Raw genomic sequence first — 12,192 nt, 5'->3', positions numbered from 1 at the left:
AGGCTGAAGATCATCTGCTCCCATGAAGCTCCTCCTCACAGATGCTCTGGACAGATAAAGAACCGGCTCTGACCCGGCCCACTGCCCGGGTTATCCTGACTTACAGAGAAATTCCACCTTGCAGCCTGACCTTGTTCATTCCCTGCTGGACCCGCCTGAGGTAGGGCCCCTGGCCTTCAGGTCACCTTTGTGTGGGGCAGTGGGGGTGGGCAAGGCACATACACACTCAGACACCACACACACCACACATACTTTCACACACACCCCACACACACACCACACACACATCACACATACTTTCACACACACACACCACACACACATCACATATACTTTCACACACACACCACACACACAGACACCACACATACTTTCACACACACCACACACACCACACACACATCACACATACTTTCACACACACACACCACACACACAGACACCACACATACTTTCACACACACCCCCCACACACACCAGACATACTTTCACAAACACCCCCCACACACCACACACACATCACACATACTTTCACACACACACCCCACACACATCACATATACTTTCACATACACACCACACATACTCACAGACACCACACACACAACCACACACACACACCACACACATACTTACACCACACACCACACACACAATCACACACACACAGACACCACACACACCACACAGTCTTTCACACACACACACCACACACCACACACTCTCTCACACACACACCACACACAGACACCACACACACTCCCAGATATCCCACCCGCACGCCCATGCACACTCACACACCACACACTTACACTCTCAAACACACACATACACCACACTCACAGCCCTATCTCTCATGCACACACTCTCACACTATCACCACACACACACTCACACCACACTCACAGCTCTCTGTCTCACACACACACTCACAGCTCACACACACACACTCTCTCTCTCTGCTGTGAAGGGTCCAGGGGGCAAGTCTGCCTTATATTCTCTCTGTGTCTGCCTAGCACTTAGCACAGTGCTTAGCACACAGTAGGGCCTTTATGGCACGTGCTGTGGCTGACCAGGTGGGTGGATGGACAGATGCGCCTGAGAACAGTAAGTGCGCACTCATCCACCCATGGGCTCAGCCTCTGTTCATTGTGCACCTACTATGTGCAGGCTCTGCTCCAGCCTCCGCCATGCAGTGGAGAGCCAGACCATGGGCGCCTGCTCTCAAAGGTCCAACAGGCTAGCCACGGATAGACGAGCAGATGAGTCCATCCAGCTGGAGCCAGGGGCTCTGGCGCCCCCACCCCCATTCCTCAGGGCAGAGCCATGATGAGTGACCGTGGCAGATGGCTGCATCTCCTTTTCTGGTCCCACATGCAGGGCCGCGTTAAGTGAGGTAGGTAAGCTGACCCTGCCCTTGCAAGAGCCCCAGAGTGGGCGCCTCCTTCAATGTTACGCCCAGGGCCCCTCCCTTGCCTTGCCAAGTCCTGGCCCTGCCCAGACGCTCATCAAGAATTCTCACTGACCCCTTTGTAGAGACACTGTTGCTGCCCTGGAGCTTCTACCTGAGTTGCAGGGCAGAGCAGGGCAGCTGAGAAAGGAGAGGCAGGTGGGGGATGAAGCTCCCAGGAGCTGACATTTTCAGGTTGATGGTGCACCAGGGACATACCCAGGTCACACACCTTCATGGTGATAACACGGCCCCAGTCTTCAGCTGCAGAGACTGATGCTAAGAGAGGGCAAGTGACTTGCCTTGGATCACACAGCAGGTAAGAGACAGGGTCTGGATTCCAACCCTCTCCTCTGCTGCTTGTGAAATGTGGAGGCAGGGAATGGAGTGATCCGGATGGTGAGTAGCTGGAAGGGTCCAGGCCAGCTCTCTGAGGAAGGGAGGACTTGGGGAAAACCTTGGAACATGTGTTCATCGGAATCGAAGGTGAGGAGGTGGGAGAATGGGCCTTTTAGATGAGGGCGCCTCCTGATAGCTGGGGTGGGGGTGGCTGAGCCTGGGTGGATCCTGCAGTAACAGACTGAGAGTCTGTAATATAGCCCTCCACGTGCACAGGGCAGGAGACGAGGCCCAGAAAGGGAAATGCATTGCTTCCTGCCACACTACACGGGGATGGCAGAGCCAAAGCTAGAACCAGCATTCTTCCACCAGGAATCACAGCAAACAAAGCAAAACCAAAGCAAAAAAAAAGAAAAAAAAAACACCCAAAACAATATTTCAGTCCACCAGCTAGTGAAGTTACAAAAAAAAAAAAGAGAATCAGTCATCCCAGTCATTTAGTATCTTGTGGGCAAAACAAGTGGCCGTGTGACTGCATCCTGCCCTTTGCATCCAATCCCACGTGGCCCCATCCCCCCCTGCACCCCCAACCCCCACAGACAGCCAGGTCCCTGAGGCAGCCAGCCCCAGACCCAGGCCGCTGACTTTCCTGAAGCTTAAAGTCAAGTTGCCAAAACAAACTTCTTTTGTCTTTCTTAGTTTTTCCGTGTTTAAATAATAATAATCTGAAAATGAAGTCATTGTGCTGTGGCTGCTGCCACCTGCCAGCACTGAGTCCCCAGTGTCTGAAGGGCAGCTCCTGGGGCGCACTGTGGCCGTCTCACCGGGTCCCACTCGGGGATCAGCCCCACACCCTGGCATCACCACCCTTTTCTCTCCCTCAGCTCATCAACGCCATCCAGCAGGGTCTCCTTCTCTTCCCCACGACGGATGGCATTGCCGCTTGCTGGGAGCTCCCTCCAATTTAAGACAGCTGCCTTCTACAGAGACAGGCGCTATCTGGAGACAGAATTCCCCAGCCTTAAAGGGGGATGCATTTTAAGGGGTGGAATTTGGGCCCTGGGCAGCTGACAGGTAGGGGATTTTTCAGAGAGGAAGGGTATTTGGAGCCCTAGCGTCATATAAGCACACACTCTGCCCAGCCCGGCCCCAAAGCCCCAGCTGCTCCCCTTACTAGGTTGACCCAGCAGTCCTTGGTCTTGGCCTTTGTGGCCAGGGTGGCCCTGGCCGGCTCCCTGCTGCCTTCTTTTCTCAGCAGGGACCTCTCTGGGATCATTCTCTTGGAATCTTACTCTTCCTCCACTCCTGCACACAGCCCCGGAGGCCTGGTACCCAGTAGGTGCTGCGTGGTGGTCACAGAACTGAGAAACGAAGACCCCTGAGCTCCCTCTCCTTGCCCAGCGTTCAAGTTTCTTCCCACGGGGCCACGGATGTTCCCTGGGAATCCGGGAGTGCCGAGGGTGAGGAATCAGCCTATGGCAATGGGACCAAGGCAGTCATAACACGCACCTCTTACGGTGCAGGCAGGATTAGAGGAGAGAATGTGTATAAAGTGTTTTGCAGAATTCCAGCTCCTAGTGGCATTTAATGATGGGAGATCTTAAAATACAACACTAGCCAAGATTTACGGAGCATGCGCCAAGCGCTATGCAAGCGCTTTACATCCCCTAGTGGGGCTATGCAATAGGCATCTTTACTGTCACCATTTTACTATGTGGCCTACCTGGACCTGAGGCCAGGATTATCATCTTTCACATACTGGAGGTTACTTCATGAACTCTTTTTTTCTGAGACAGGGTCTTTCTCTATCACCCAGGCTGGAATACAGTGGCATGATCTCAGCTCACTGCAGGCTTTACCTCCCAGGCTCAAGCCATCCTACTGCCTCAGCCTCCTGAGTAGCTGGGACTACAGGGACACATCACAGTGCCCAGCTAATTTATTTATTTATTTAATTTTTTTTTTTAATTTATTTATTTTTTATTTTTTGTAGAGGCTGGGTCTCACTGTGTTCACCAGGCTGGTCTCAAACTCCTGGACTCAAGTGACCTTCTTGCCTTGGCCTCCCAAAGTGCTGGGATTACAGGTGTGAACCACTGTGCCCGGCCTGTGCAGGAACTCTTTAAAGCCCTAGCCCTTGCTTGCAGGACAGACTGGGATGCAAAGGCTCCCCTGCCCGTAACACATACTGAAGGGGAATGAGAGAGAGTGTCCTCAGCCCACAAACCCTGCCCAGGACAGGCACAGAGACACACATGCACACACACACATGCACACAGGAACACTCACACATATGCATATGCACAGAGATACACGCAGACACATGCACACACAAACATAGACATAGACATACACAGACACACACACACACACACACACACACACATACACATGCATACACACATGCTTGTGGAAGATGAAAGCCATGACCAGGGCCATCCCTGACAGAAGCAGGGGGCTCTGCCAGGCTCTCTGTGATCTGTCCTCATTATCAGCTGCCTGTCTCTGGCTGAGAGGTGGGAGGAGGGTCCCAAATGTGCAGATGGAGTCAGGGCGCTGGGCCGCGGTGCCTGATTGCATCTGGAGGGTGAAGGCCCAGCTGGCCATGGGACCACAGGGGTGCTAAGCTCTGCAAACAGGAGGGCCAGCCCAGACCTGCTTGGCTAGAAACTGCTGACCTTGTATCACTGGAAGCAGTTGCTCAACCCCAACCTTCCTGAGGGCAGGGGGCAAGCACAGGGCTTTGGGGGTGATCCTGGCTCAGGGGAGCAAGGCTGAGGCAGGCTGGGTAGGTCCAGATAGGCCCAGGGTCCAGCAGCCTTGACCTGGTGATGCATCCACAGGTGTGTGCCACTCCCTACCCCCGATACCTTGGTCACCAAGCCCCTTATCCTCCCCCAACCTCCCCCAACAAGTGGAAAGGCACTCTACTCAGCACTGTGCACTGGAACTTCCTGCCATCATGGGCATACATGTTCTACATCTGCACTGTAGGACATGGTAGCCAGATGTGGCTACAGAGGGCTGGGAATAGGGCTAGTGTGTAGTCTAGCAGCTGCCACACTGGCTGGTGCAGCTCTAGACACAGCCCAGCAGCCTGGAGGCACAGGGCCTGAGCTCTGGGCTCGAGTGCCAGCTCATCTGCTTGATGGCTGTGACCCATCTGTGCCCATGTGAGTGTACCCCACAGGCCACCCCACGGCTGCCAGCATGAGGATGAGTGGCTGTGCCAGCGGGGCCTCCAGTCACCTGCTGGGCTTGAGGTCTGGGCCACAGACAGGCCCCAGTTCCCTCCTCTGAAAAATCCAGGAAAGCACAGTGCTGACCTCACGGGGCTGTGACCCTGAATAAGTGCCCAGGTGGTGTCCAGCAGGTTCACTGCTAGCAGATGGATCAGGAGTTGAACAAATGTGGCTCCATAGCCACAGGCGGCTGCAGACAGATCCAGCACTGCGGTTCCCACCCTTCTAGCTCACAGAAGTGCCAAGGGGACAGCTCTTAGGAGGCCTGAACTAACAGCCCCAATAGCTTGGGCCAGAAAGTGGGTGCAGGGACTAGCTGGTGGCGGCGGAGGGGCGGGGGTTGTACATGCTTAGCATCTAACAGGGGATCCCTGAGAGCAAGGGAGCTGTTGTCCACAGGCCCTGTCTTCATCTTATCAGAGATAACATTCCTCTAAACTCACACAGCAAATCCTCAAGAAGTAGGAGAAAAATGTTAATGAACTTCGATTAAAATTCCTTTCCAGGCTTGCCAGTCAAGGCAGGCAGGCCCCTGACCTGCTCAGGGAAGCCTGCATGTCTGGTTTCCTACCTGGGGCCCAGGAGGGCTTGAAGAATCATGGGGACTGCGCTTGGGATGCTGGTTCAGAGAGAGCATCCCATGTCCATGCCAGAGACATGCGCCAGGGTTTCACCATCAGATTCATGTTGCAATTTCTTGTCTTTTCATGAGGGTAAGACTTAGCATTTCCCAGCCAACCTGTATAGCGAGAATTTTTACCAGTCTCTATTCCAGAGGAGGAGACTGAGGTTCATAGTGGCAATGTAGCTTGCCCAAGCCGCAAAGTTGCAGTGCTGGAATTCTGTACTTGCAGAACAGGCACCTGCCCAGACACAAGACACAGCATCATAAACTAAGACCTTCCTTTAAGAAAATAAACACAATAGAACCTTCTCATCCAAATGCCTACTGCCCTTCCTCCCAGGCATCTCCCCTCTAGAGATGGGCAATACTGCCTCCAGCGGCGCCTGTCATCGTTGCTGTCAGCAACTTCCTGGATTTTCTTTGAGAAGGAGCTTCCGTATGGGTCTGTGAGCTCATTGCTTTTACCACACCTTGTTTCTGATAAGCCAGTATTGCCTAGACTGACCCCTGCCTGGATGGGTGAGTTTGCTGCTACATTTTGCCACAATGCCAACCAAGTGCTTTGAAGATGCTATTTAAGAAGGAGCTACAGAAATTCACCATGTGGTCAAGACATTGTCCCTCATCCCATTAGACCACCTTTATTTGAAACCACAAGAGAAATTACTTTCAGATTTCAGATTCAGGAAAGTCTATGTTTTGAAATAACTGGCTTGTTTATATCTTATAGAATCTGAGCACCCTGAGGCTGGCCATTTTCCCTCTTTGACCAGTAGGAAGCTCAGGATCACATAAGTAGCCCACTTCTAGCATTATAATGCATGTTTTTATGTATTGACTGTGCCCTGTTTTCAGCTTAAATTTTCATTTCTCCTTCTCCCCCATTCATTTACTTTCTTGCTCACACAGCTTTTTAAAATCACCTGTATAGGGAAAGGGTCAAATAAGCAGTATCTCAGCAGATCCTACAGAAGTTTAGGAGAGGGCAATATCACCAGGGGATTAAAGAGTTAAACAGAATAAAAAACAAAAACAACTCTTCAAAGCAGAGGACTTGATTGGAGTAGGATTCACACGAATGCATTCTTAGGGGTTCCTTATTCATTCATTCCCCAGGAGCACCTTGTTGGCCACCTTCTCTAGTTCAGGAGCTGTGCTTGGTGCAGGGAGACAGCAGTGAATAAGCCCCATCCCCTAGGCAGCAGCATGTGGAAGGACGAGTGAGACCCTCCCAGGCCAGTGGAGGCACCAGGCAAGGAGGCAGGAAGTACAGGTAGAGGTCGCACACTCAGGTGGATGGGCTATGGTGGCCATGGGCGCACCCAGGACAGAAGGGGCAGCTTCGCCAAAGGAAAGTGACCTCGACTCAGAGCTGCAGGGCAAGGAACTGGTTGCTGAGAACAGAGGGAGGGCGAGGTCAGGAAAACAGCTCCAGCAGAGCAAACCCCAAATGTCCTCAGCACTCAACACATATGGCAGAAAGAGGCTGGGATGTTCCAGGCAGAGCCTGGTTTCAGGGGAGCTGTGAGGTCTGAGCTTGGACATGGGAAGGGATGGTCCATAGGGCTTGGTCTACCACACAAATGGAGGAGACTCTTCTGCGGCCAGAGGAGCCAGAAGAGAGCGTTAAAGCAGAAGACGGATGTGATCAGATTTGCATTTTGTGAAGATCTCTCGGGGTACAGAACAGGCCTAGAGATAGGGGGTAGGAGGGGGTGCATTTGGGAGGCCAGGGCAGCAGCAGGTCATGGAGGAGATGATGGTGATCTGAGCTGGGGGTGGACAGATATGGTTCCATGGACTTCTTTCTGTGTGTGATTTATTTCAGTATTTTCCTCTTAATACTAGAGTGGTACATGATCATTTCCAAGCATAGAAAATGTCAACTAGCAAAAGAGTACAAAAGAGAAATTATTATTCACACCTCATGGCTCCTGAGTGTGCATGCACACACACATCACCACACCACCCCAGAACATCCTACCTGCTGTTTTGAAGCTCAGTCTAATTTATTAAACAAAATCCATATTGCTGGACATTTTTGTTTTGAATTTTTTTGCTATTATAGCTCAGAAAAGGACTAATTGGCTAAAAAGGAATCAAAACTAAAAAGAAAACCAGAAAAACAGCAACCCAAATCTGAAGGCAATACTTGCTTATACATGCATTAAAGGTTGAAAAGCCCAAGGTTCGCCAAACTCAGGTACATATGAACAGTCAGGAAGTGCCGGCAGTGTGCCCCAAAGCCTGCCCTTCTTCCGGTGGCCAACAAGGTCCACCAGACTGGGTGAGCAGTGGGTCCTGACAGAGGAGTCTGAACAGAAGAAACTGATCATTGCCAGCTGGGGTTCTGGGCCCCCTGGCCTCTTCAGGGGGCTGCCCTGGGCTCCTCTCCAGACAGGCCTAACCACGCTATGTGGTCCCTGCTTGGAGGTCTTTCCTGGCCCCTTGGCATGAAGCTCCTGGAGGGCAGGACTTAGCTCTTCTGGCCCCAGCACTCAGTACATGTCCGTCACCTTGTTGGAACTCACTAGATGTGCTTTCAACAAATGCATCGGGCAATAATCAACTTGATCACCTAAGGATGGGGAAGGATCTAACCGTCACGAAATGTGCTACATCCAGACACCAACAAGGCGCTCAACATAGTCACTTCAACCTGTGACACAGTCCTCAGGAAGAAGGCGCTGAATTTTAAAACATTTTAGAATTAAGGGGATTTCTCTTTTAAAACTGCTCTACTGGAATATAATTGACATACAATAAGCTGCACAGATTTAAAGTGTACTACTTAATTTTTAACATCCATATACTCCCATGGAACCATCATCACAGTTAAGATAATGAACATGTCTCTCACCTCCAGAAGCTTCCAAGTGGCCCTTTGTCATCCTTTCATTCATCCTCACACCTTACCCCTATCCTCCACAACTGCTGACCTGCCTTCTCCCAGTGTGATTGCTCTGCCCTTGGGAACACTTGCCCAAAGTCACACAGGATGCAAAATCAGATGTGTGTGACTTTTTCCATTGCATTAATTGGTAATGGGTCCAGGTAGAGAATCAATACTGTAGTTATTCTTTTTTTGCCTGCCTTCTTTCCCTGGGCGTAATCACCCCGAGACTCATTGATGTGGCAGCCTGCACCAACAGGTCTGACCATTATTCCCGTTTTGCAGACACTGGGCGTCACAGGTGCTAAGTAATTTGCAATGTCACAAACCCACGAAGTGGTAGAGCCAGAATTTGATCTCAACTCTGTTGGCCACAAAGCCCATCTCCTTTTTTTTTTTTTTTTTTTTTGAGATGGAGTCTCACTGTGTCTCCCAGGCTGGAGTGCAGCGGCGCGATCTCTGCTCACTGCAAGCTCCGCCTCCTGGGTTCACGCCATTCTCCTACCTCAGCCTCCCAAGTAGCTAGGACTACAGGTGCCCGCTACCACGCCCAGCTATTTTTTTTTGTTTAGTAGAGACGGGGTTTCACCATGTTAGCCAGGATGGTCTCGATCTCCTGACCTCGTGATCCGCCCACCTAGGCCTCCCAGAGTGCTGGGATTACAGGTGTGAGCCACCACGCCCGGCCCAAAGCCCACCTCCTTTCTATTCCATCACTGCATCTAAGAACAGCCTAAGCATGAATCCAGCTGCTGCTGCTACTGATTATTTCTTCTTCTTCTTCTTCTTCTCCTTCTCCTCCTCATCCTCCTCCTCCTTCTTCTTCTTCTTCCTCTTCCTCTTCTTCCTTCTCCTCCTCTTCCTCTTCCTCTTCTCCTTCTTCTTCTTCCTCTTCCTCTTCTTCCTCCTCCTCCTCTTCCTCTTCCTCTTCTCCTCCTTCCTTCTTCTCCTTCTCCTTCTTCCTCTTCCTCTTCTCCTTCCCCTTCCCCTTCTCCTCCTCGTCCTCCTTTTTTTTCTCCTTCTCCTTCTCCTTTTTCTCCTTCTCCTTCTTCTTCTTCCTCTTTTATTTTTATCTTTTTTGAGGCAGGGTCTCACTTTGTCGTCCAGGCAATGCAGTGGCATGATCTCGGCTCACTGCAACCTCTGTCTCCCAGGCTCAGATGGATAAGCTATGGCTGCCGTGGGAGCACCCAGGACAGCCTCCTCCCACCTCAGCCTCCTGAGTAGCTGGAACTGCAGGTGCACACCACCATGCCCACCTAGTTTTTTGCATGTTTTGTAGAGACAGGCTTTTGCCATGTTGCCCAGGCTAGTCTTGAACTCCTGGGCTCAAGGGATCTACCCACCTTCGCCTCCCAAAGTGCTGGGATTACAGGCATGAACCACCGCTCCCGGCCATGAACCCAGCTTCTAAAGGGTAACTGTGAGCTGCCATGCAGGGTCCTCCTCTGGTGTCCCAACCTCCTGCCCTGTCTCCCCTTCCATCGCCTCTGCACCTTCTGTGGGAAAATTAGGTCCAGGCTCCCTGAGTCAGGAGACACCCTGGACCTGGGGAAGGGGAGATGATGCTCTCATATCTGCCTGTGGGCTGTGAGCAGCCTGATGGCAGGGACTATGCTTAGCATTTGGGGCCCCAGGACACAGCACAGAATCCCACACATAATAGACCTTCACTAGATTTGTGTTGAATTCTCTACTCGGTTTTGTCTGCTCCCTGGAGAAGCCCTCATGGTACAGGTAGGCTCCACTCCAAGGCTATAGGCCACTTCCTGAGCAAAGAGTCCCCAGACCTACCAGGACAGTGTCTGTCTCAGGTTATCAGCTTCCACATGTCCTGTGGGCATCAGCCTTACCTGGCCCATCTGGCTTCTCCAGCAGCACATCCCTCCCACTGGGGTGCCCATCCCAGGGAGGCCCCAGGGGTCTGCCTCAGCCAGAGGCCCTTCTTGGGTATGGCTCAGGGCTCTGGACCAGCTTCAGCCCAGTGCCTGGGCAGGTCCCAAGCTCTCCAGTCCTCCAGCAGGCATGCAAAGCAGGAGATCTAGAGTGTCTCCAGCCAAGGATGGAACCTTAACTGTGCCACTGGGAGACCTGGGAAACTCCCTCACCCACCCACTTGCTCATTCATTCATTCATTCATTCACTCATTCCACTTACACAAACCTCTTGTCAGCCCAGAGATGAGTAAGGCCCAAGCCAGGGCTGCTGTGTGCAGTTGTGCAGGTTGCATCTTGCACAAGGACACCAGTCAAGGGAACACTCATGGAACCGTTACCCTGGAGTGGCATGGTACAGCAGCCCTCTGGAGAGGTGATTCTGTATGGTGGCCCTGACTCTGTCCCCGTCCTCAGGGAGTCCATGGTCAGGGGCCACAGGGAGAAGTGACAGGGAAGTATGCCTGCAGCACAGCACGATAAGGCTATGCGGAGGAACACTGAGAGAGGGAGAGTTGTCCCAGTAGCCTGAGCCTATCAGGGGAGGTTTCCTGGAGGAGGTGGCATTGCCACTGAGACATGATGATGACAGAATGAGGAGAGAGCCGATACAGCAAGGGAGACCCTAAGCACAGGACTGGAGGCAAGCAGGTGCACAATATATATTTCAGAGTGGCAGAAACAAGGGTGGGGGTGCTAAGACCCGGCCTGAGGGCAATGAGGAAATGCTGGAGGGTTTCAACTAGGTGAGTGGAGCTCTTAGTCTCCCCTCTCTCATCTGTGAAATGGGCACAGCAATTCCTGCTTCTCCAGGTCGTGGGATATGCCTGGCACGTGGTAGGTCCTCAGTAACAGGGGCAGTCTCTGTGTCTGCCCGCTAAGCCAGGGAGGGGTCTGGCATCACACTGGCTGGGCCTGGTTGGCACCACCTTTCATACTCCGCTGTCCTGCTGCCCTCCGTTGGTGGGATCAGATGATGAAACTAAAGCCCATCTCTGAGAAGAAGGACGACGTGCCTCTCTGCCACGCCACCCCCAGATGCAGGCTGTGGCCCTGGCACCCGGCTCACCTCCCCTGGTACCCAGCCCTTGAGGCAAGGCCAGGGCGACCGGGCAGGGCCGGGCTGGGCAGCATGTGTGATGGCTAGGCCTCCTGGGACTGGCACCCACTGGTGGGAGAGGAATCTGAGAAGCCTCAAGGTGCAGGGGGACCTGCCTGACCACCCCCTTGTCTCTGAGGAAGCAAGAGCACCTGCCTTTCCCATCCCCATCCCCATCTTGCCTGGCGAGGCTCAGTTAGGCAGCTGTGGGGACCCCCAGCCACACTGTATCTCCTGCTCTGTGCTCCCAGCATCTCCTGCCCCAATGGCTCAATTTGGCAAAGTTATACTTTAAACGTTTTACTAGTGGCTGTTTTTCTGATTATAAAATAACATAGTCGGGAGGTGTGGGTCATGCCTGTAATGCCAGCACTTTGGGAGGCTGAGGCAGGTGAATCACTTGAGCCCAGGAGTTTGAGAACAGCCTGGGCAACATGGTGAGACCCTGTTTCTACAACAAAAGCAGAATTAGCTGGGTGTGGTGGCACATGCCTGTAGTCCCAGCTACTCAGGGGGCTGAGGTAGGAGAATTGCTGAGCCCTGGAAGGGGAGGTTGCAGTGAGCCTAGATCATGCCACTGCACTCCAGCCTGGGCAACAAAGTGAGACCC

At 52.5% G+C, this 12,192-nt stretch overlaps 2 annotated features.

Annotated features, from left to right (window-relative positions):
- Positions 1,375–1,876: an enhancer, noted in NCBI's record as "H3K4me1 hESC enhancer chr2:121890689-121891190 (GRCh37/hg19 assembly coordinates)". NCBI's record gives its function as "activates a minimal SCP1, AML or CMV promoter by ChIP-STARR-seq in primed H9 embryonic stem cells {active_cell/tissue: H9 hESC(primed)}" and the evidence as "EXISTENCE:reporter gene assay evidence [ECO:0000049][PMID:30033119]".
- Positions 2,333–2,971: an enhancer, noted in NCBI's record as "H3K4me1 hESC enhancer chr2:121889594-121890232 (GRCh37/hg19 assembly coordinates)". NCBI's record gives its function as "activates a minimal SCP1, AML or CMV promoter by ChIP-STARR-seq in naive H9 embryonic stem cells {active_cell/tissue: H9 hESC(naive)}" and the evidence as "EXISTENCE:reporter gene assay evidence [ECO:0000049][PMID:30033119]".

Source organism: Homo sapiens, chromosome 2, assembly GCF_000001405.40.
Source record: "Homo sapiens chromosome 2, GRCh38.p14 Primary Assembly".
NCBI classification, from domain to species: Eukaryota; Metazoa; Chordata; class Mammalia; order Primates; family Hominidae; genus Homo; species Homo sapiens.
The sequence above is the reverse complement of the archived record's forward strand: the minus strand, read 5'-3'. Positions and strand labels throughout refer to the sequence as shown.